At 40.0% G+C, this 22,231-nt stretch overlaps 1 long non-coding RNA gene across 1 annotated transcript; it reads left to right on the plus strand.

Moving 5' to 3' along the window:
- The first annotated feature begins 10,597 nt into the window (after positions 1 to 10,597).
- Positions 10,598 to 20,110, plus strand: LOC124901959 (uncharacterized). The gene is made up of 3 exons (XR_007060960.1): positions 10,598 to 12,301; positions 15,687 to 15,755; positions 19,029 to 20,110. It is a non-coding gene; the product is annotated as an uncharacterized LOC124901959 (long non-coding RNA).
- The last annotated feature ends 2,121 nt before the right edge of the window (positions 20,111 to 22,231 follow it).

The raw sequence follows: 22,231 nt of genomic DNA on the forward strand, positions 1-22,231 counted from the left end.
CTGGAACAACCTAAACAATAGCTGGATAATTTCACGTGAATGGATAGGAATATGAAATCAGTAGGTTTTAAGTAGTTAGCACTGTTCTGAACTGAGCATGAGCTTATTGGAAAATGGTTCTCTTTTAGAAAGATTTTACTTTTTCCAATTATTAAAAATCAGTCCACTTATCATAAGAACCGGAAAGTACAAGACTGTTTGAAATAAATAACATATGATCCTACTATTGAGAAATAACCATGGCTAATATTTTGATATTTTTTTCCAGGTTTTTCTAAGCATATTGTGTTTTATAAAAATTAAATCATAATATACACATCATTTTAAAAAATCAGCCTTATTGAGATATAATTTTCATATTATAAAATAAACCAATTTTCAGGGACTACTTGGATGAGTTCCAGCAAGTGCAATTAAAACTCTCAGCTATTTGTGTCTCCAAGAACAACTTCTTGCCTGTTTTGCTGCACATAGTTCCACCTGCCCCAAGATCCTTCATGTTTTCTGGTCTCTTTATTCACCTTCCCTCAATTTTAAATCAGGGTTCTCTCTGGGTTAGTGGAGAGGGATGAGTGGGGAAGGGGAAGAAAGAGGCTTCATTACTCACCACTAGAGATGTTATTTCATTGCTTATCAAAAGACAGCTTTGCTCCCTAAAAGGGTCTTCCTCTCTCTTACACCGTAGAAATAATTTGGATCTTTTCAGTATTCAGTCTTCCTATTCATGAACCTGGTATGTTTCAGCATGGTTTTATTTCTTTTTTTCCAGAGACAACCATTTTTTAATTTCCTTTTAACTCCTACATCACAGACTCACTGTTGCCATCTTCTGAGTCACAATCCTCATCTTAATACCATTATGAGTTCCTGCCCAGAATAATACTAATACTGCTGCAGCTGATATTTAGGATATAGTGCTTGTAATATATCACATCACTTAATTCCTCTAGCAACCTTGTAAGGTGGTCCTTGCTATTCTCAGAGTTGAGAACATTATTGCTGGTAGTGGTTATAAGTATTTCTTCCTTATTGTTTTAATCAATATGTTTGTATATAGTAAATATTTTTATTTTCTTCTTTTGCTTATACCCTTATCATCTAGCATGAATTTATTAATACTGAATTTTATATCACAGTATTTAATAGGCTATCAAAAGAGAAGGACAGGGCTGAGCACAGTGGCTTATGCCTGTAATCCCAGCACTTTAGGAGGCCAAGGTGGGGGGATCTTTTGAACTAAGGAGTTTGAGACCAGCCTGGGCAACAGAGTGAGATCCTGTCTCTCAAAAATAAATAAGCAAAATAATTTAAAACTAAAAAATTTTTTAATGTTTTTATTTAAAAATAAATATATATACACTTAATTTCCTCTCTTTTTTCCTTTTTGTTTTTTGAGATGGAGTCTCACTCTGTCACCCAGGCTGGAGTGCAGTGGGGCGATCTTAGCTCACTGCAACCTCCGCCTCCTGGGTTCAAATGATTCTCCTGTCTCAGCCTCCTGAATAGCCGGGAATACAGGTGTGCACCATCATGCCCAGCTAATTTTTTTGTATGTTTAGTAGAGACGGGGTTTCTTCATGTTGGCCAGGCTGGTCTGAAACTCCTGACCTCAAGTGATCCACCCACCTTGGCCTCCCAAAGTGTTGGGATTACAGGCGTGAGCTACCATGCCCAGCCAAGGCTAGGTATTTAAATGTTCAAGGAGTTGATTTCAACTTAGATGCAGTGACCACCCCCCACCCCTTGGAAGAAAGGTACATTACATCACATTTGCCATCTTGAAGTAAGATTCATTGATAGTATAATCAACCACACACACATTAAAACAACAACAACAATAATATAATACTCTAACTAAAATGTAGCTGAAACTCTAAAGGAAAGCCATTTACAATAAAACAAATCTCTTTCTGAATTTAAATGTCTGAACACGGCTATGTGAGAGAGCTTAATGGAGTCAAATGTTTGTCTGGTCCTAGGGTCTCTGTCAATGCTGCAGCTACAAACATGGACTGAATAGATGTGTTATCCTGGTGGTGTAGCTGTCATGAGGAGTGATGCAACTAATGATGTGGTTTTCTGATATAGTGAGCAATTCTTGGTGGACCTCCGAACAAAAATTACAATCTTCCCTTGATTTGCATGGTGGTTGCATTTAAGAAAAACATACTATCGTATTTTAAAACAATGCAAAATAACTTTCTGCTCAATGTAAAACTGAGTTAAGTTCCAGGCTCAGAAAATTAAAATATGTTTTTATAGGTCCCAGAGAGCAGAGAATGTTATTCACCCAGACCACCTGAAACAGTGCTTAGCACACAGTAGACATATATTAAGTATCATGTGAATGAATTTTTCATCTCTGTGAAAATGGACAGGACATTTGAAAGTCATGCAGGATGAGGGATGATTATCCATTGTGCTGGACTACTCTAGACACTGCAGAGGAACTGGCATCTGCTCGCTGAAGACAGTACTGCTCCTAATTACTGTGAGAACCCAAAAGCTACCACCACAAATTTTCAAATTGCTCCTTTGGGTGGTACTGTTTAGAACCACAGAATTAAGTAATGATGTGGGTACTGTGTCTGTCCATTAGATTCCAGGGAAAATCCACTCACAGAAATGGTGCCTTAGTCAGTGGAGATGTGGCTGACCTATTAAAGAGACTGCCTGCTTTAAAGTAGGTGGAAAGTGGGGTGGAATGCAGGGTACAGCCATTGCCAGCTCACCAGGAACTTTGCACTAATTAGAGAAAGGTATCTGCTCTGGGAAGACCAGTTAGAAAAAGGGCACTGGCTGGCAGCTGATAAAGCCCATGGCTGGTCACATGACTTAAGCAAGTGGAGCACTGTCTGGCTGGATTTCAGCCTCCTCTCTGGATCACTTGGCCCAAGTGCCTTTTTGCAGGACTCAACTTGCATATAGCTTTGCATGGTTACCAGCTAAGACAGAACCAAGTGCTAAGATTAAAAGATAAATTCCAGACTGACTAGACGGGTGAATGGCTCAGGATAGCCTAGACAGCTTTATATTTTTTGGGGGAAGTTAATCTTAGTCTGGATGAGACAACTTATGAGTAGGAAAGGGAGTACGGAATGAATAAACAAATGAAATTAAATACAGTCACATGTCACATAATGACATTTTAGTAAACAAAGGACCACATAGCAGTCCTGTAAGATTATGATGGAGCTGAAAAATTCCTATCACCTAACGACATTGTAGCCTTCATAACATAGTGGCATGACATATTACTCATGTGTTGGTGGTAATGCTGCTGTAAACAAACCTACTGCACTGCTAGTCATGAAAATATAGCACATACAATTATATACAGCATAAAAACGTGATTATGATAATACATGACTATCATGGTTTGTTTACTTTTTATAATTATTTGAGTATACTCCATACATATACACATATACACGTATATATGTATAAAACTTTATTTTACATATATGTACACACATGCATGTACATGTATATGTACATATATATACACACATGCATGTACATGTATATGTACACATATATATATACACATATGAAGCTAACTGTAAAATAGCCTCAGGCAGGTCCTTCAGGAGGTCTCCAGAAGAAGGCATTGTCATCAGAGGAGATGATGGCTGCATGCGTATTATTGCCCCTGATGACCCTCCAGAGGGACAAGATGTGAAAGTGGAAGACTGTAATATTGATGATCCTGGCCCTGTGTAGGCCTGGGTTAATGTGTCTGTGTCTTTGTTTTTAAAGAAAAAAATCTAAAAAAAAAAAGCTCTTTAATAAAAAACAGCTTATAGAAGGAAATAAAGAAAATATTTTTTGTACAGCTGTAAAATGTGTAGTTTATCCTAAGTATTAATACAAAAGTATCAAAGTTCTAAAAACGTTTAAGCTTATAAAGTGAGAAAGTTGCAGTAACCTAAGTTTAATTTATTATTAAAGAAAATTAATAAATGCCATACAGCTGAAGTATATCGTATTTAAAAAGTCTACAGCTCACTGACTTACCCAGAGCAACTGCCTGTCCTGCAAGCTCTATTTGTAGTGAGTGCTCTATCCAGGTGTAACATTTCAAATCTTTTATCCTGTTTTTACTGTACCTTTTCTATGTTTAGATATACAAATATTATTGTGTTATAATTGGCTACTGTATTCAGTACAGTAACATACTGTGCAGGTTTGTAGCCTAAGAGCAATAGGATATACCAGCTAGCTTAGATGAGTAGTGTGGTAGGCTGTACCATCTAGGTTTGTGTAAGTACACTCTACAGTGTTTTCACACTGACAAAATTGTCTAATGATGTATTTCACAGAATGTATTCTCGTTGTTAAGCAACACATAATTATTCATGAAAATAGAATAAGTTTAATTAGTTCTGATGAGTTTAGGGAATCTCCTTCCCCATACTTTTTGTAGTAAAATTGGGTAATATTGGTGGCTCATACTAGGTGCATTTTCTTGTGGAAGTTTAGAACTTTAATAATCAGTGCATTTGGGGACAGTGAAGTCTTGGAGTATTTGTCAGAATTCTAGTTAAATACATATTTAATTGACCCGTACAGGGAAATGTATTTACTAGTTTCTTATGACTGCATATATTTTTGTGGGAACAGATATTCTTGTTGACTATCCAGGAATTCTGCCTCCCAGGGTCAAAGGGCCTTCCTGGTGAGAATGAAACCAGAGAAGTTCTTGAAGGACATTTCCTTAATGCTGTGATAGGACACATTTGACCTATCCTGCCTTATGCCAAAGCATGCACTTTTCTGCCACTGACTGCTCATGTCCACAAGATTCTTTTACAGCTGTACCTCACTGGACAAATACAGAGAAGTATCAACAGATTCTTATTCTTCATCTCTGGCTTGTTAAGTCCCCACGTGGACTTTTCATTCCATGGCCAATCTGCTTCATTTTTACAAAGTAATTACTCAGGCACTACTATGATGCCAGAAATAATCTCAGTGGTTCCAGCCTGGAGGGCTTCAATGGTAGCAGCAAGGACAAAGCTGATAGAGTAGTGATGTTCCTGAGGATGGCCATTGTGATGGTTTAATTGCATGTGTCAACTTAGCTCGACTATGGCGAGCAGTTGTTTGGGCAAACACTAGTCTGGGTGTTGTGAAAATATTTTATAGATGTGATTAACATAAACATCTATGATCACTTGTTTTAAGTAAAGATTACTTTCGATTGAGGGGGCTGGTCTCATCCAATCAGTTGAAGGTCTTAAGGGCAAAAACTCAGGTTTCCCAGAGAAGAAGGAATTCTGCTTCAAGACTATAACATGAAAGTCCTCCCTGAGTTTCTTGTCTGCTGGACTGACCTACGAATTTTGATTTGCCAGACCTCATGATCATATTAGCCAATTTCTTAATACTTTTTATGTGTATAAAACCTCCAATTGATTCTGTATCTTTGGAGAACCCTGGCTGAATCAGCCATCATTATGAGCTCTTGAAGAAAGGCTGCTGAATGGAGCTGAAATCTCATGCTCCTTTCTGTCAACACCTGAGTCTCCTGGACAGATAAGGCCCATCTCTACTATCTGTTCTCTAGGGCCTTTGACCCTGTGCTGCTCTTTGTAGCAGTAGAATTCCAGCCTGGAACCAGCAGGTGATCAGGAGAAAAAAACCATACCAACCTGATCATGGCCAGGAATGTGACTATCTCTGCCAGGTGCTAGCCACTCATGACGTGGAGGCCATGCAGTGGTCCTGCAGGATGGCCCTGAACAAGGTGATGATGGAGACGGTACCAAAGCACAGACTTCCGGCTGCCCTTTCACCAGGATGGCTGTGAGTACTCACAACACTAGGATGGCCACTGGGGCTTTAGAGTCCTCAGGAACTAGGGCATTTTCTTGAGAAGGAAGCAGTTGAGGCAAGAAAAGAACAGTGTAGGCCGGGCTCGGTGGCTCACGCCTATAATCCCAGCACTTTGGGAGGCCGAAGCAGGCAGATCACCTGAGGTTGGGAGTTCGAGACCAGCCTGACCAACATGGAGAAACTCCATCTCTACTAAAAATACAAAATTAATTGGGCATGGTGGTGCATGCCTGTAATCCCAGCTACTCAGAAGGCTGAGGCAGGAGAATTGCTTGAACCCAGGAGGTGGAGGTTGTGGTGAGCCGAGATCACGCCATTGCACTCCAGCCTGGGCAACAAGAGTGAAACTCCATCTCACAAAACAAACAAACAAACAAACAAACAAACAAACAAAAACAGTGTAACACATAGGGTCAGGACATGTTTAGAGATGGTACAAGGAATGTCTACCCCACACAGGGCACCAAGGAAGTAGACAAGGCCTTGGGCATACCTGCTAAGCTAAACATAATGTACAATACATTTTGGAATGGTCCAGGTGGTTTGTGAAGTACTTGGTGGAGACCATGAAGAAACTCCAGAGAAGCACTATCCCCAGGTCCAGCATAAAGATGAGCCAGGTAGACTTCTATATCTCCTGTAGCCGCTGACAGGCTGCCATGGCAGTGGCATTTCTGGCTCTATCTGGTTGTCAGCTTCTCTAGGAACCAGGACCAGGATTACAGGGGTGCTGACCAGTCTCTGGAAGAAGTTCTGGTTCCAGCTGTGGCGTTTGGAAGTAGGCTTCCCTCTATGGGATCCTGTTTGGATTAGAGGTATTTCCAGTTAGGAGGAAAATTTCCAAGGTACTCAGCACCATCCTGCTAATAGGAGGCTACAAACATGCGGTAATTTGGGGAAATTTTAGGTAAGGCTGCATGCTTCAGACAATCGATTCTACTACTTCCAATTTCACCATGATGGCTTTCTTACTCTAAGCCCTAGAGGAATTTTAAATCTTTAAGAGATAAATTTTATTTATTGATTAATCTTTTTGATAAGCAGAGATGAGTACCCCCCCCCACCACCACGTTGCCCACACTGGTCTCAAACTCCTGGGCTCAAGCTATCCTCTTGCCGCAGCCTCCCAAATTGCTGGGGTTACAGGTGTAAGCCACTTGCATGGCTAAGAGACACATTTTAAAGTGCAAAACTACCATCAATCTTTCGATTTTTATGTTTTCACTTCAGCTATTAGCTGCTATCTAATCAGTAGTTTTTTGTTTTGTTTTGTTTTTTCTTTTCTTAATTTGAGATGGAGTCTCGCTCTGTCACCCAGGCCGGAGTGCAGTGGCGCATCTCCACTCACTGCAAGCTCCGCCTCCCGGGTTCACACCATTCTCCTGCCTCAGCCTCCCGCATAGCTGGGACTACAGGTGCCTAACACTACGCCTGGCTAATTTTTTGTATTTTTTTTTAGTAGAGACGGGGTTTTACCATGTTAGCCAGGATGGTCTCTATCTCCTGACCTCATGATCCGCCTGCCTCGGCCTCCCAAAGTGCTGTGATTACAGGCGTGAGCCACCGTGCCCAACCATCAATAGTTATTTTTTAACACTCAAGAGCAAGTGAGCACCCCCATCATCATCATTATTATCATCATCATCATCATCACATTATCACTGGATGGGTATCCAGAAACTGTAAGGGATGCAACTTGTTTCCTCAGGAAATGTACAACATATTATTAATTTGGAGGTGCAAGTGTGTAAATATTTTTGTATTGTGACTGAATGAAAAAAATATGCCAGCTAATTTTGTTTTGAGGCTGTCTCACATACTAGAAGTCTCCAAAACCATGCACAAAGTGATTAATGATGTCCCTTTTGGTCAGTCAACCAACACGACAGGGAAATTTTTATTCTATTTTCCACATAATGTTTAGATAAATATTTTTATTTCTAGATCTATGGCCACATAGGTCAATTATTTTATTTAGCACAATTTTCCTGTTAGAAACAGAACTTCTTAGAGGTCATGATAAAATGTGAGAAATAATTATGAAAAATATTTAATTTTTTAACATTTAAAAGCTAAACAATTATCACCTTTGGGGAGTAGGCAAAAGTACATTGTATCATTAAAAAAAAACCTGAACAAAGTCAGTTCATGGAGATCTAAGAAATCTGAGGATTATCTTTTGGACTTTTATGCTTTGTAATAAGTTATGCACTTTTAAATGTCTACATGCTTCCTTTTATTTTAGAGCAGTTTTAGGTTCACAGCAAATAAGGAACCTAAATTAAGAGGCAGGTAGAGAGATTTCCCTTACATGCATAGCCTCCCTAATTATTGATATCAACATCCCCCACTGGAGGGGCATATTCATTACAATTGCACCTACATTGATAGCCATAATCACCCAAAGCCCACAGTTTACATCAGGATTTACTCTCGGTGATGTGCATTTTATGAATTTGGATGAATGTATAATAATATGTATCCCCCCTTTTTTAGTATCTTACAAAGTAGTTTCATTGCTCTAAAAATCATCCGTGTTCTGCCTCTTCAACCCTCCTCCTCTCCCCAGTACCTGGCCACCACTGACCTCTTCTGTATCCATAATTTTGCCTCTCCCAGAATGTCACATAGTTGGAATAATACAGTGTATAGCCTTTTGGTAATATCACTTAGTAATATATAAGATTCTTCCATCGTTTTTCATGGCTTGATACTTTATTTCTTTTAAGTGCTGAATAATAGGCCATTGTCTAGAGGTATTGTAGTTTGTTTATCCATTCACCTACTGAAGGACATCTTAGTTGCTTCCAAGTTTGGGCAATTATGAATAAAAGCTGCTATAAACATCTGTGGGCAGATTTTTGTGTGAAAATCAGTTTTCAGTTCCTTTGGATAAACACCAAGTAGCATGATTTCTGGGTCTTATGGTAAGAGTATGTTTAGTTTTCTAAGAAACTGACAAAGTGTCTTCCAAAGTGGCTGTGCCATTTTGCATTCCAACCAGCAATGAATGAGAGTTCCTGTTGCTCTACATCCCCACCAACATTTGGTATTCAGTGTTCCAGACTTTGGCTAGTCTGATAGATGTTTCTAGATTTTGGCCATACTAATAGGCGTGTAGTGGTTTTTCATTGTTTTAATTTGTGTTTCCCTGATAACACAAATGATGTGATATGGAGCATCTTATATGCTTATTTGCCATCTATGTATATTACACATATTATGGAGATTAAGAACCTCATTCAAAGATTCAGAGCTGGTGCCAGAATCCAAGATTTAAACACCGATTTGTCTTACTCAAAATCCTCAGCCTTTCCCACTCTATCTTTGCTGTTCTTCGAACTACAACATTTAAAGCAAATAATGAAACGGGGTCAAAACCCCATGAGACCAGATGAACTTTCCTATTGATTGTGAATGGGAAAACAATACAAAAAAAAAAAGCTTCCTTATTTAAGTGTGTCTTTGAGGACTATGAAATGTTTGTTACTTCCCAATAAGCTCTGCTACTCAGAATGATCATCTCTTTTTGTTTCATAGTTTCAATTGCAGGGCTTTTCAACATTTTTTCTTACTTTTGCTCCTGCTAAGGAGCTTTTATAGATATGCTTTTTTTCCTAATGATTCTACCAACTATGGAATTTTAATACTGCAGATGCTATATATCTGTCTATGTACTAAGTGTATATCTGTGCTTTAATTATTTTTTTTGAGACGGTCTTGCACTGTTGCCCAGGCTGGAGTGGAGTGGCATGATCTTGGCTCACTGCAACCTCCACCTCCTGGTTTCAAGCACTTCCCCTGCCTCAGCCTCTTGAGTAGCTGCAATCACTGGCACCTGCCACCATGCTTGGCTAATTTTTGTACTTTTAGTAGAGACTGGGTTTCACCATGTTGGCCAAGCTAGTGATCTGCCCTGACTCCTGACCTCAAGTGATCCGCCTGCCTTGGCCTCCCAAAGTGTTGGGATTACAGGCGTGGGCCTCTGTACCTGGCTTATCTGTGCTTTATACTTAAAAAGAATACAATTTTCTCATTGTCCAAAGAAGTTTCTCCCTCTTTACCACCCTTGTTTGGAATGCATGTTCTAGGGCCAATTGGATGAAAGAATGCTTGTCAAGGAATTGACCTAAATTAGTGACTGAAATTGTCAGCACAATGCCTTCTTTCTGCATGCTTGAAATGGTAGCCAAGCACTCATCCTATGAACTCTGTGTTAGTCCATTTTTATGCTGCTGATAAAGACATACCTGGGACTAGGCGATTTACAAAGGAAAGAGGTTTAATGGAGAACTCACAGTTCCATATGTCTGCGGAAACCTCACAATCATGGAGGAAGGCAAGGATGAGCAAATCACATCATACATAGATGGCAGCAGGCAAAAAGAGCTTGTGCAGGGAGACCCCTGTTTTTAAAACCATCAGATCTCCTGAGACCCATTCACTATCACAAGAACAGCATGGGAAAGACCTGCCCCCATGATTCAGTCATCTCCCACTGGGTCCCTCCTACAACACACAGGAATTATGGGAGCTACAAGATGAGATTCAGTTGGGGACACAGAGCCAAACCATATTGAATCCACTCTGGCACACAGACTATCCTTGAGGCAGAATGTCTACCTATTATATATTTAGTGAAACAGCAAAGATTTGCCACAGCCTAGGATGTGGCAAACTCAAGAAAGGTTTGTAAAATTCCTTCCTCCTGAATTGATTAGCCTCATGCCTCAGAATATGGTAGCCTCTGGCCCTTCAAGAATTGAGTGATTTATGTAAAAGCAATGCTAATGAATAGTCTCAGCCATTCTGGGCTTCTTTTATGTGGATCTATTTCTTTTTCTTATGGTTTCAGTCTGAAGGCACTCTCATTATGTTAACTAGCTTAGGCAGCAATTTTAATATTAATTTTGCAACATAAATGGGCTCATTGTCCAAGTTGTAGATGCCTAAAGCAATGGTAACTTTTAAAGACACTTTCATCAAATTGCTTGTATTTGTTTTCCTGAAAGAATTAATCCAGGAGCAAGGCTGCTTCTCTTTATTGTTTAGTGTCAGCTTGTACCTGCTTTGCCTCCCCCACGAACTCGTCAGAAAGCTCACAGTGCCAGGGTTTTACCGGTAGCTCTACCCATGTTGGTCATTTTGTCCCAGACATCTTCATGGGCTTGAAACTGACTTTGCAAACATGTAAGTATGGGCTTTTAAAAGTAGATATTACTATCTCATGTCAATATTCTTTCTATCCTTCCCAGAGTAAAAACACAGGTTCTATGGCATTTGGATCTATTAGAGGAAGCAGCCCAGTAAACGCAGTGAGTGGTGATCAGGCACAGCTCTCTCTGCTGAGGTCTGGCTGGACTGATCCTGTGGAAGGGAACAGCACAATGTCCATACTGCTCCTGTGATATATAGAGGATAGCTATTGAATGCAAGGGCCCTGGTTCAAATCCCTGTTCTACCACTTCCTGTGAGATTGTAGAAGTTACTTAACTTTTCTCTACCTTAGTTTCTTCATCTAAAAATGGGAGACTAGTGGCTATCTCAAATGACCGTCGTGAGGATTCAATGAGTTAACACACATGTTTAAGCTACTGTCAGGTACCTATTTAAATACTCAATAAATATCAGCTGCCATTCCTCCTCCTCCTATGACACTTCTCCTGCTACTGCCATTCTCCTCAAGCATGGTAAGCTCTTCTTCATCCATGTACAGAGAGTGGGAGGTGCATTTGGAGCATTTATCTCTCCTTTAACTGTGACGGTGGCTTCATAGACCTTGGACCCTACTCATCTGAGTTAAGTAGACACAACAATAACCCAGGAACACATTAAACCCTTGCTGCCTCATTATTTACTTGCTGCAATTTTACTGTATAATTACATGGAATTTTGGTATCCCTTTGCAGCCTAAATGTTCTGAGGTTAGATTGGAAGTGCCATCATGTCTATTTTTCATTCATCAAACCTTACCATGCAGCACTAAGCACAGCGTGGCTGGAAGACTGAGTAAGGTAGTTCCCCTCTTAAACAACCTTATGATCAGCAGAAGAAATAATGTATGGATACGAATCATTTTAAGAATAACAATGATATATATTTGAAAATTTGCTCCTTGGCAGGTTGTGCTGAGCACTTTCCATTTTTTATGTAATTGAATTCCTATAATGGTAGAGGACAATGATGTAGGGACAAAGTCCTGTGGTTTAAGTAGTAAGTGGAAAAACAAGGAGTTGAACTCTGACTTCAAAGCTTGTGATCATGCTCATACGTGTCACAAACACACTCCATGAGAGACTGTCACAAGGCCCTTTGTGAGGCAGAGGAGGGAGAAGTCACTTCTAGTTGGTGTGTTAGTGGTGCAGTGTGCTTTTGAGGAAGGTTTGGTGGCAAAGGTAGATTTTTAGCCTTAGCATTTCACAACTGGTGGGCAGAATTTAGATGGGCAGAAGCATTTTAGGAGGTAAGACTAGGATAAAAGGTCCAGACAAAGGATGGGCTGGACTTTTCTAGGAAACTTCATGTAATTTTTTTCTGGCCAAAGCAAAGGATATGGGTGGGGATGATCCAACTGAAGATATCTATTAGAACTAAATTCTGGACGGCCTTGTATGCCAAAGAAATAGTGTGTGTGTGTGTGTGTGTGTGTGTGTGTGTGTGTGTGTGTGTGTTTTTCCAGTGGGATAGTCTGGAAGACTAGAGAGATCCCCACCTTTCAAACTGGATAGATCTATGTGTAAAGGCTAAAAGGAGGGCTTATTTTAGCAAGATTGCTCAAACTCTCTGGTCTTTGGTTTTCTCATTGCTTATTTTGGTAAGGATTTGTTCATGCCTGTTTATCAAATGGATGGAAGAACTATCCCCTGCCTTATAGGATCATTGTGAAAATCAAAATAAGGCACAGCATTGAAACCTAGTAAACTGATGGATGCTACAATTGCTATTATTAAAGAGGAGCCCTTGAGGTCGTTGGACAAGTGGGTGCCATGAACAGAAGCTGGCTTTTAGAAGATTACTCTGACACATGCATCTGTGAGGAAGAGGAAATACTAAGAGTGAGAGATCAGTAGGAAACGACTGAATGATATATAAAGGAGAGAGAATGAAGACCTGGAGGGAGGTGGCTGGCGTTAAGCCTTTGACGTGCTAGGGGCAGTGTTAGGGCTGTTGGCTGCCTGTTTGTCATAGTGTATCAGGTACCCCAAGTATTTCTCTGTCCTTTTAAACCCATTGGATATTTAAGGTGGGGTAAAGTTTTAAGACAGAATTGAGATCTAGATGGTTCTGACTTCCCAGGCACTAAATACCTCCACTTTAGCATTCTGCCTTGTGGCATTTGTGGGACAGATTTTCTATTACACTGGTTAAGTTTCAGCTCTGTGGGATTTCTCCAGCTCTATGTCTTCTCCAGTTTAATGGAAGCCACGTAACTATCATGACTCAGTATTTTAGTTGGGAAAAAATCATATGAATGTTAGATCCACTAATAACCAATAATTATAACCTTCAAAAACAAAAGGGTTTGCCGAGCACTTCACTGATTTCCATAAAAGCAAGCCACTTTCTAGCCTGTCCCTTCCCTCTCTGTCAACAGAAATCATATTTATTTGTTATTCACAATTCCAAGTATCAAAAGAAAGACAATGATCTTTTATCCTTGTCATATTATTAATACTATATACCAAGGTGGCATATTTTTGATGAGAAGGATAAATTTCAAATAATTATTTTGATTTACTTCATAAATCTTTGTCTTTTATGTTGAAGCACATAACAACTTCATCTCTCTGAGTGGTCTGGCGCTGACGTTTCACCACTTCAACGGTTTGGCTCGTGATTCAGTCATGACAGAGTCACACAGAGCTATTCTGGCAAGAGCAAGAATAGAATCTGCAGGATAAGCCCAGAGAGCTGTGTGCCCACCACACAATAGGGGACAACTTGCCAGTGAGAAGTCAAGCCCTGGTTTATTGTGAGGCATGAAATATCAACAGCTGAAATTTTTGCTCTGCCAACTAGAAATGAGGCAAGACATGTTAAAAAAAATTTTTTTTTTTTTTTAGTAAGACTGGGAATGTAGAAATGCAGCAGCCTGGACAAACAAGAGGGAAGAGAAATAAACATACACCAGTAATTCAGGGTCCAGACTTGCCTGCTGGAGCTCTGTTCCAACAGAACGTGAATTCCTCTAACTGAAATCACTTACATGTCATCCTAGACTTTGGAATCTGCTGAAAGATGCCCTGAGTCTGTAGAAGTAATAGATGCCCTGAGTCCAAGCATCTCATTAGATCTCCTCTTGACTATTACTTTCATCTACTGGTTTACCGTTATATTATCAACACCTACTACTATAATCAACACCTGACACATAGTAGGAGTACAGTAAAAGTTTAGGCAAAAGGTCCCAAAACCTGGGTTTTTGTCTTGTTTCTCATGGCCAAGAGGAAATCCCAGAGGAAAAGCTGAATACAAGGAATTAAAGGATATGAGGAACCAAAGAAGAAATACAAGGAACCAAGTCAGCCATTTCCCAGTGGTTACCTAGAGCTTGAAGTTCTGCATCTCACTCCCATGGCTGTTACATGTTGCTTGGCACCAGTTCTCCTCTTCTTGCCCTTATTCTCGCTGCCTGCTCCTCAGAAATCTGTGTACACACCTCCATGTCTAGACTTCTTCCTCTTATCTACCACTGGGTGCTGTTCTTCTTGGTTGCCCTGTGGAGTGGGGTGTCTAACCCCTGGTGCTGATCTTTCTCACCCAGCCCATTCCACCACTGGCCATGACCTGATTTGGCAGTTACTTGAGGAAAGGGATGGCCAGTATAAAACCTTCAATGAAAGAGATTTATCTATGATTTTTAAATAGAGAATATTCCAAATTCTTACTGCACAACCTTTTGAGAACATATGCTATAGTTCCCTAGCAGTGGGTCTATCTTGGTAATCCACAGTCTCTCTTCAACAGGCTGAAAATTGGCTTGATCAGGATTTGTAGAAAGAGACAGAATTAAAGGAAGAGTTCCTATTTTTCTTTCCTTATTCCCTACCATATTTACCTCTCTCCACATCAGCAGGGCAATATCTGAGGATAGTTTTTAATCATTTAGTTGAGGAATATATAAAATCCCTCTAAAAGAACACTATAAAATCATTGGTTTGACTGTTTCTCCCTCATACCCTTTCAAAGACTGGCAAAGAATAAAAGAATCTAATGCTTCTCACTGAGCCCCAGGATGACAGAGGAAGCTGACTAATATGACCCTTTGGGTTGGTAACCAGGATCTGGAGAATTAGCCAGCATGGTAGGGGCTAAAGCTGAGTTTCATGCTTCAGTCCAGCAATTGCACCCCTAATTGGGCACATAGTTGCACTTTCATGGCATATAAACACTTTAAAGAACCAGTACTCAAGAGAGAAGGCTACTGTGTGTTTTCCTGAGGGCGTAGTCAGGGAGTAAAGAATGCAGGGCTCTTTAAGCAAAATTAGGCATTTAATTGCACATCTAGACTTCACTGATGGCTTTGCACATGCATGTGATTATGATTCACTTGAAAGCGCTCCTTTGAGGAGAGTCTGCACTCTACTTCTTTACAAAACAAATTAGGAAGGAAAATATTCAAAATGTTTAATTTTTAAGGTCTATTTCTTGAGTTTCTTTTTAGTTCTTACTTGCCTTCAAGTTTCTAGAGAGTTAAACCAACCACCACCACAGGGAATTCCACATCTGACTCTTATAAAGTACATAAAACAGAATATACATAGCTGTGGGTAGTTTGCAATTAGAGCATAAGTATAGTACAAATGTGGTGCTTCTCATCTACCAACATTCCTCTTCCTTCCTCTCAGATTTTCAGATTGAGAAATGGAGGCATCGAGGTCAAATCTTTTACCTAAACCACTGAGCAGCAGAGACAGGTCAGAAATATAAGTTGTCCTTGGCACCATTCTCTTTTCCAGCATTGAGCCAAGAGTCCAGTGTACCATGTTTAACTCCATTCTTCAGTAGGAATGGAGTTAAAGACATTAAAGAATAGATAACTTCTGAGGTTTGAACTTTACAGAAATATGGAGTTGAATATTTTGGTCCAATGTTTTTCTTTCGTACCCATCTCTGTGGTAGAAGACCAAAAATTTTCAAATGAAGGTTTTGGAAATGGACTCATTTTCTTCATTCTATCTGCCTTCCTATTTTGTGTAATTTGTAGAGATTAGTATTCTTGGAATTTGATGTTAGTGGAAGTATGTATGTATGCCATGTGTTTAAATTTATATATTCCATTTAGCAAAAGCCACCTGAGTTGTGTTTGCACAGTGTTTGCATAGCTATACCTACCCCCTGGCTGCTGTTTCTTGCCTCTAGTTTTTTCACAAACTTGGCCATCCTGAGTGCATTCTGTGAGAGTGCTCTTTAGCCTGGTTTGGGCTTATTCTGATATTAGTTTATTACAGTAGTCAAGAATGTGTCACCCAGAGTAGACCTCAACCTAATATAAAATCTCTAGGTATCAACTAGAGAATTTTATGAAATTTATGGAATTTTATGAAAAACTCAAAATTTTTTGGAGAATGCCTGAACCACTACCAAGGAATTAGAGCTATTTGGCCATTCCTGCATGTTCATCAGAGGTGGACTTATACTTGGCAACCAACAAATACTAAATAGTAACATTAGATGCAGACTTGTAATCCCTTTCACTAAGAAATAAGTGGAAGCTCAGCCAGATAGAACTGGGTTTGTCAAAGTTTTTAATAAGTCTGTAGGAAAATCACCAGCATAGGCTGAGGAACTTCTTCAAAATCCAGAGACCCAGGCCCATGCTCAGGCCCCTGAATCAGAAATTGCAGGATGGGCCCCAAGCATCAATATTTCCAAGATGTTCCTTAGTGATTCTGATGCTTGTGTGGTGAGGAGCTGTAAGGCTGAAAGAATAGTCTCTGCTCTGGTCTTTCGTTGGAAATGGATGAGTCCTTTTACAAAATTTTTCCTCTTGCCATGGGTGTTATGTTTAGAATCATGGAGTTGGAAGACTTAGATTCAATTTGGGGCTGTACAGTTTACTGGAAGTTGTATGAACTTGAGCAAGTGTCTCTTAATGTCTCTCAGCCTCAATGCCCTTCCCTGTAAAAGATGAGATTAAGAGAGGACACATTCAAGGCTCTTAGAGTGTCTGATAGGTACCAACTATGACTACACTGCCTGCCACCAGAGCATTCCGAGCAACCTCCTTCATCTTCATAGTTTCACCATGGGGATTGTTTTGATCATTATTTTGATAAGTTTGTGCCCCACACACTTCCTGTTCATTGTCATTCTGTGTTGGAACAGTCAAAGTCTTGCATCAGGGTTCTTATATTTTGTAGAGAGATGCTATCCATTATTCCTAATAATAATGTGAAGGTAAAAGAAGGATAATCCCCTGAAAGATGCTCTGTGAAGTGCCTGCTGCCTGCTGCTACTCCCAGCTCCAGCTCTCTATCTTGCTCTAATCCCAGTATTGTTTTGTCAGCCTGGGTAGGAGAAGTGACTTCTTGATGGATTTGAGCAAAAGGCAGTTTCTCCCACCGGGAAGAAGCATGGATGCCTTAAAATCTCCTGTGTAAAATCACCCTCCTGTAGAAGGAAGCGCCAATGAAGATTAACCATTTCATGTCAGTGAACACACTGCAGTGTGTGGGTGTGTTTAGCTCTCAATATCAGTGTGCTAGCTTTCTTTCCCAGCTGAATTGTCAATTCCTCAAAGGCAGCTTCATCCTGCACAGGGCTTTGCAGACCTCTGGGAACAACAATGTGTGTGACAGGCGGCCCTCTGGCACAGGCATGGCTTGTTTACTCTGCTGGTTTAAATTGCCTGTCTTATGTACCAGTATTTATATGTGTAACAAATGGGGGCTGGCTAATTATGTGGTTCTCAGTAGGAATCGAGTCTCTGCTGGAACCAGCTCAGTCTCTGCCCACTATTTATAGCCTTCATATGTCCCAAATTTTCCAGTTCTGATTTCAAATATTCTATCCCACTGTCTCCAGAAGTACACTTTATGCTTGTCAGACCACATGTCAATTTATGGCTTGAGAAATATAGTTACAGTATTATAACTGCTACCCTGAATACCACATTTTCTAGCTGTGAGATTGGAATCCTGCCTCTTAAAAACAAATTGAACAGGCCGGGTGCAGTGGCTCACGCCTGTAATCCCAGCACTTTGGGAGGCCGAGGCGGGCAGATCACAAGGTCAAGAGATGGAGACCATCCTGGCCAACATGGTGAAACCCCGTCTCTACTAAAAATACAAAAATTAGCTGGGCGTGGTGGCGCGCACCTGTAGTCCCAGCTACTTGGGAGGCTGAGGCAGGAGAATCACTTGTACCCAGGAGGCGGAGGTTGCAGTGGGCCCAGATCGCACCACTGCACTCCAGCCTGGGAAACAGAGCAGGACTCAGTCTCAGAAAAGCAAAACAAAACAAACAAACAAACAAAAGAAATTGGACATACATAGGAAGTATAGAAGAAAATCTGTTTTTTTCTTCAAATATCCTTGGTAAGCAATTGATTCAAAGCTTTACCTAAAAATATTACAGATCTGGAATTAAATGACTATGTGATAACACAAATCTTGATGTCAGTTGTCCTCCTTGAAACAGTGCCTTTCACACAGAACATGGTCATTAGTTAGTAGAATGATTGAATAGGGTGAATAGTATATTGACACTTTCACATTACTGTACGCTATGGAACTCTGATGTGGATATGCTGTGTTACTTCTCAGTCATCCATAAAGGCACAAAGTTACACTATATAAAGTGTGAAAGGGGCAGATTTGTAACACATTTGAGCCCCTACTTTGTATGAGGCACCAAGATAGGCACTTTCTCTTGACTTACTCAGAAAAACCCGAAGGTGTGGGCACCATAGTCTTCATGTTACAGACAGGAGAATGGAGACTCAGAGATGAAGGAGTTTGCTTGGAATGCTCAGGTGGCAGGCAGTGTAGTCAGAAGGAGAACTTAGACTGCTGTGATCGCAAAGTCCTTTTATAAATCAGGGTTTCTCACATTACTTTTTATTCTGCTCAGAATGATAATAAATGCAATAAAAATTATTGCCCATCAGCCTCAAGCTCCCTGTTGCTTTTTAAGGGATATTTGCAAATGTAATCCATCTACTAAATGCCCTCCTGCCTTTGTCACAGCTTCCTATCCCATGTTTCAGTGCTGGAGCAGACCCGTGTGTGTTTGGGAGCAGGGGTAGCTGGAGCTCTTGGAGGCCTCGCAGAGAGATGGCCTTGCCCATGATGAAGTCCTCTGGTGACTCTGCAGGACTGGCTTCGGTCTTCAAATTGGATATTTCCACTGGCACATAACTAAGCCTCAGTCAATGGAACTATACATCCATAAGTCTCAGAAAGCAGAAGGATGGCTTCCTAAATGATTTTTCCTTATGCTATATGTGCCAATAGATATCACTAATACAATCAGTACAAATAACAGTTCATGGCTTCAGACAACAGAGGTCTTTTCAACCTCTGTTGAGTCTGTAGAAAATCATCTTGATAAAATGCTATTAAATTTAAGGATATGGAGTGCAGGTTCTGCAAGAAGAATGGCCCTGGGACCTAGAACAGTGCCTGGTCCAAAGTTGGTACTCAAATATTTCAAATAAATGAATGAATCAGGGACTCAGTGGCTCTCTTTCCAAATTTATTACAGTTAAGTCCATAGGCAATCGCAGCATTTCATAGAACTGCCAGACATGATGGCCAAGGCAGAGAAGAATCTTGATTAATCCTTGTTAATACAAGTCAGGTTTTTCTATTTTCAGAGGTCCCTAGGTACTGGAGCAACTCTGCTATCTGGTATACCCAAATAGCCCAGTACCTAGCACAGTTCTGACATAGAATAGGTATTCTGTAGTACAATAAGTGAATCAGGGCATTTCAGTCGTCAAGAGTATGAACTGGAATTCTGCTCTTGGTTGCAAGATATCCATAATAGGAAAACTATATATCAAAAAAAATATTGCTTCAGACTTAGTTGTCAAGGGAGCCAAGACCTTGTGTGTGTTCATCATAGTTAAAATGCTCACTAATTGATACTGCTGGAAGGCTTACCTCATGAACAATGTTCTGTCACCTATGAAAATGCACTGAAGTAGCTTCTTGGGTAAACACTGGTAGGAGCTCATATTCATAACTTTTAAGCTGCTGGTACAGTCCAAAAAAGGTTACCACTAGATAATCTAAAATATTCTTGGAGACACTCGGGTTGCATTTGGATTCAGTCATTAACAGCTTTTTGTTTTAGAATGAAAGTATGCCTGCCTCTGGGAAAGAAAAAGGAAAAATTTTCCAATTAATTAGGCAGACTGGAGGTATTACATTGTGTATTTTCAAGGAAAAATGGAACAAATATGGTCTTGCAGAAGTTAAGTTGTTCTTTGTTTGCCAAACTGCAAGATAGATTAATTGAAAAAAAAATCATAAATTTTTGCTTTTCAAATATGGCTGGAAACCCACAATTAGATTAAAAACCCTTTCCATCACATGGCATTGTGCTGGTAAACGTTGTAGTGAGTTGCTGCGCAAAAGACAGACTTCAGCCTCCACCAGGCTCAGTAAAGACTGCAACAAATAAATGGAGGCAGTGTCCTGCTTTCTGCTTTCATTTGATCTGTATTTGGTATGGCAGGATATATTTTGAAAATTACTTTGCTATAATGAAAAGTGAGGAATTGCAGATTAGCTCTTACTAAAAGCAAATTAAACTTCCCCTCTACCTCTTGGAGAGTTATTCCCACCACAAGATGAGAAGGGCTCATTTACCTTGGGTTCGGCTTGACAACTACTGAAGAGTAGACAACTTTTTGTTCTATATCCAGTGTTCTTGCATAGAAGCAGTCACAGGATGGGGTTCCCTCCTGCTGGTAAACTACTATTCTATGTGGCAAGGAGGTTGGAAAGAAAGATCGGGGAAGTGGAGAATAGGCACCAAGGAGGAGGAGATGGGGGTTATATATGTGCCAAGCTGCCTTGCGTGCCAGCTGATGGTGTCCCTTATAAATGGAAAGAAGTCAGGGTCCATGATATACATCAGTCATTTCCATAACTATCCAAACCACCACAAACCAAAAGTTTGGTGATAAGAAAGATGACCAAGGGGAAAAAGAAGTAAATGCTTAAAATTTATCATAAAATCAGTTTAGTTCTGTAAAAGGGAATGAAAAATGATTGGTTTTACTAAATTAATTGAAAAAGGAATTTCCTATCACCTAATTTGCTTTTCTTCACCTTCATAATATTTTATGAATACATAAATTATTTTGTATTTTTATTATTTATGTATTTATAGTTACTTTGTGGATACACAAATGACATATACTGTCTAATATTGCATTTCTTTTTCTAAGTGGACTTCTATGATGTCTCTATTAAGTGTGAGATTTCTAAAATATATAATTTGGCTTGATGCTTCTGAACTTGAAACAGGGGCTTTTTGAGAAGGAATGCTGATGCTGTGTTAATGATCCAGTGGCTTCTATTTTAAATTTTTAAACAAAAAATGGGGCTTGCTTTTCTGATCCAGAAATGCTAACTTCAGATTTAGTACACTGTGTTATGTTTGTAGTATCCAAAAGGAATTTGGTGGAAAATCACATAAGTTTGGCTATAGCCTAGTACAGTGTCTAGAATGTAGTCAGTTCTTAATTGATGTTTGTGGAATAAATGAATGGATGACCAGAAGCATTAGGCATTCATTTAAGGGTTGAACACATCAATACTCTTGACACAGCTATGGAACTCAATCAACTGGTGGCCTCAGGGAACACTTTACCATTACAGTTTGTTACTGATACAACTCACAGGGCAGATGCTCATTATAAGACAGGGAATTAATGAGGCCTAGGATCTCAGTTTAATGCCTCTAGGGGCCAGTTATCTTTATTCTGTTCCATGGCTGCATCCACAACCCATAATCTTTGCCAGCTGTCACACACCAGGGCATGCTCTTTGTCACAAAGGGGCCCAGAAAGTAGATCATGAGTAGATTAGCTCAGACCCATTACCACTTAGGAGAAATAAAGCAAAAGGCATGCACTCTTTAGAGGGGGTCAGTTGGAACAATTGAATAAATGAAGAACAGCCCATTTTGTAGCCGACTGGACCTGGTTCTATAACAACATGTTGTGGTTCTGTGTGTGCAATGCTCTGACCTTGTAGGCCATAGGCAACCTAGCCACATTTGCTGAGCATGGAGTAGTTCCAAAGCCCTGACTCTAGCGAAATACTCAACCCACAGAATGCGAAATGGACTTGGGCATGTTACAGCCACATATCTCTTCCATAAATCCCCTTTTTGCTAAACCCATATATTTGAAATTATTTCAGCATTATCTAGT

This window comes from Homo sapiens, chromosome 8, assembly GCF_000001405.40.
Source record: "Homo sapiens chromosome 8, GRCh38.p14 Primary Assembly".
Taxonomy (NCBI): domain Eukaryota; kingdom Metazoa; phylum Chordata; class Mammalia; order Primates; family Hominidae; genus Homo; species Homo sapiens.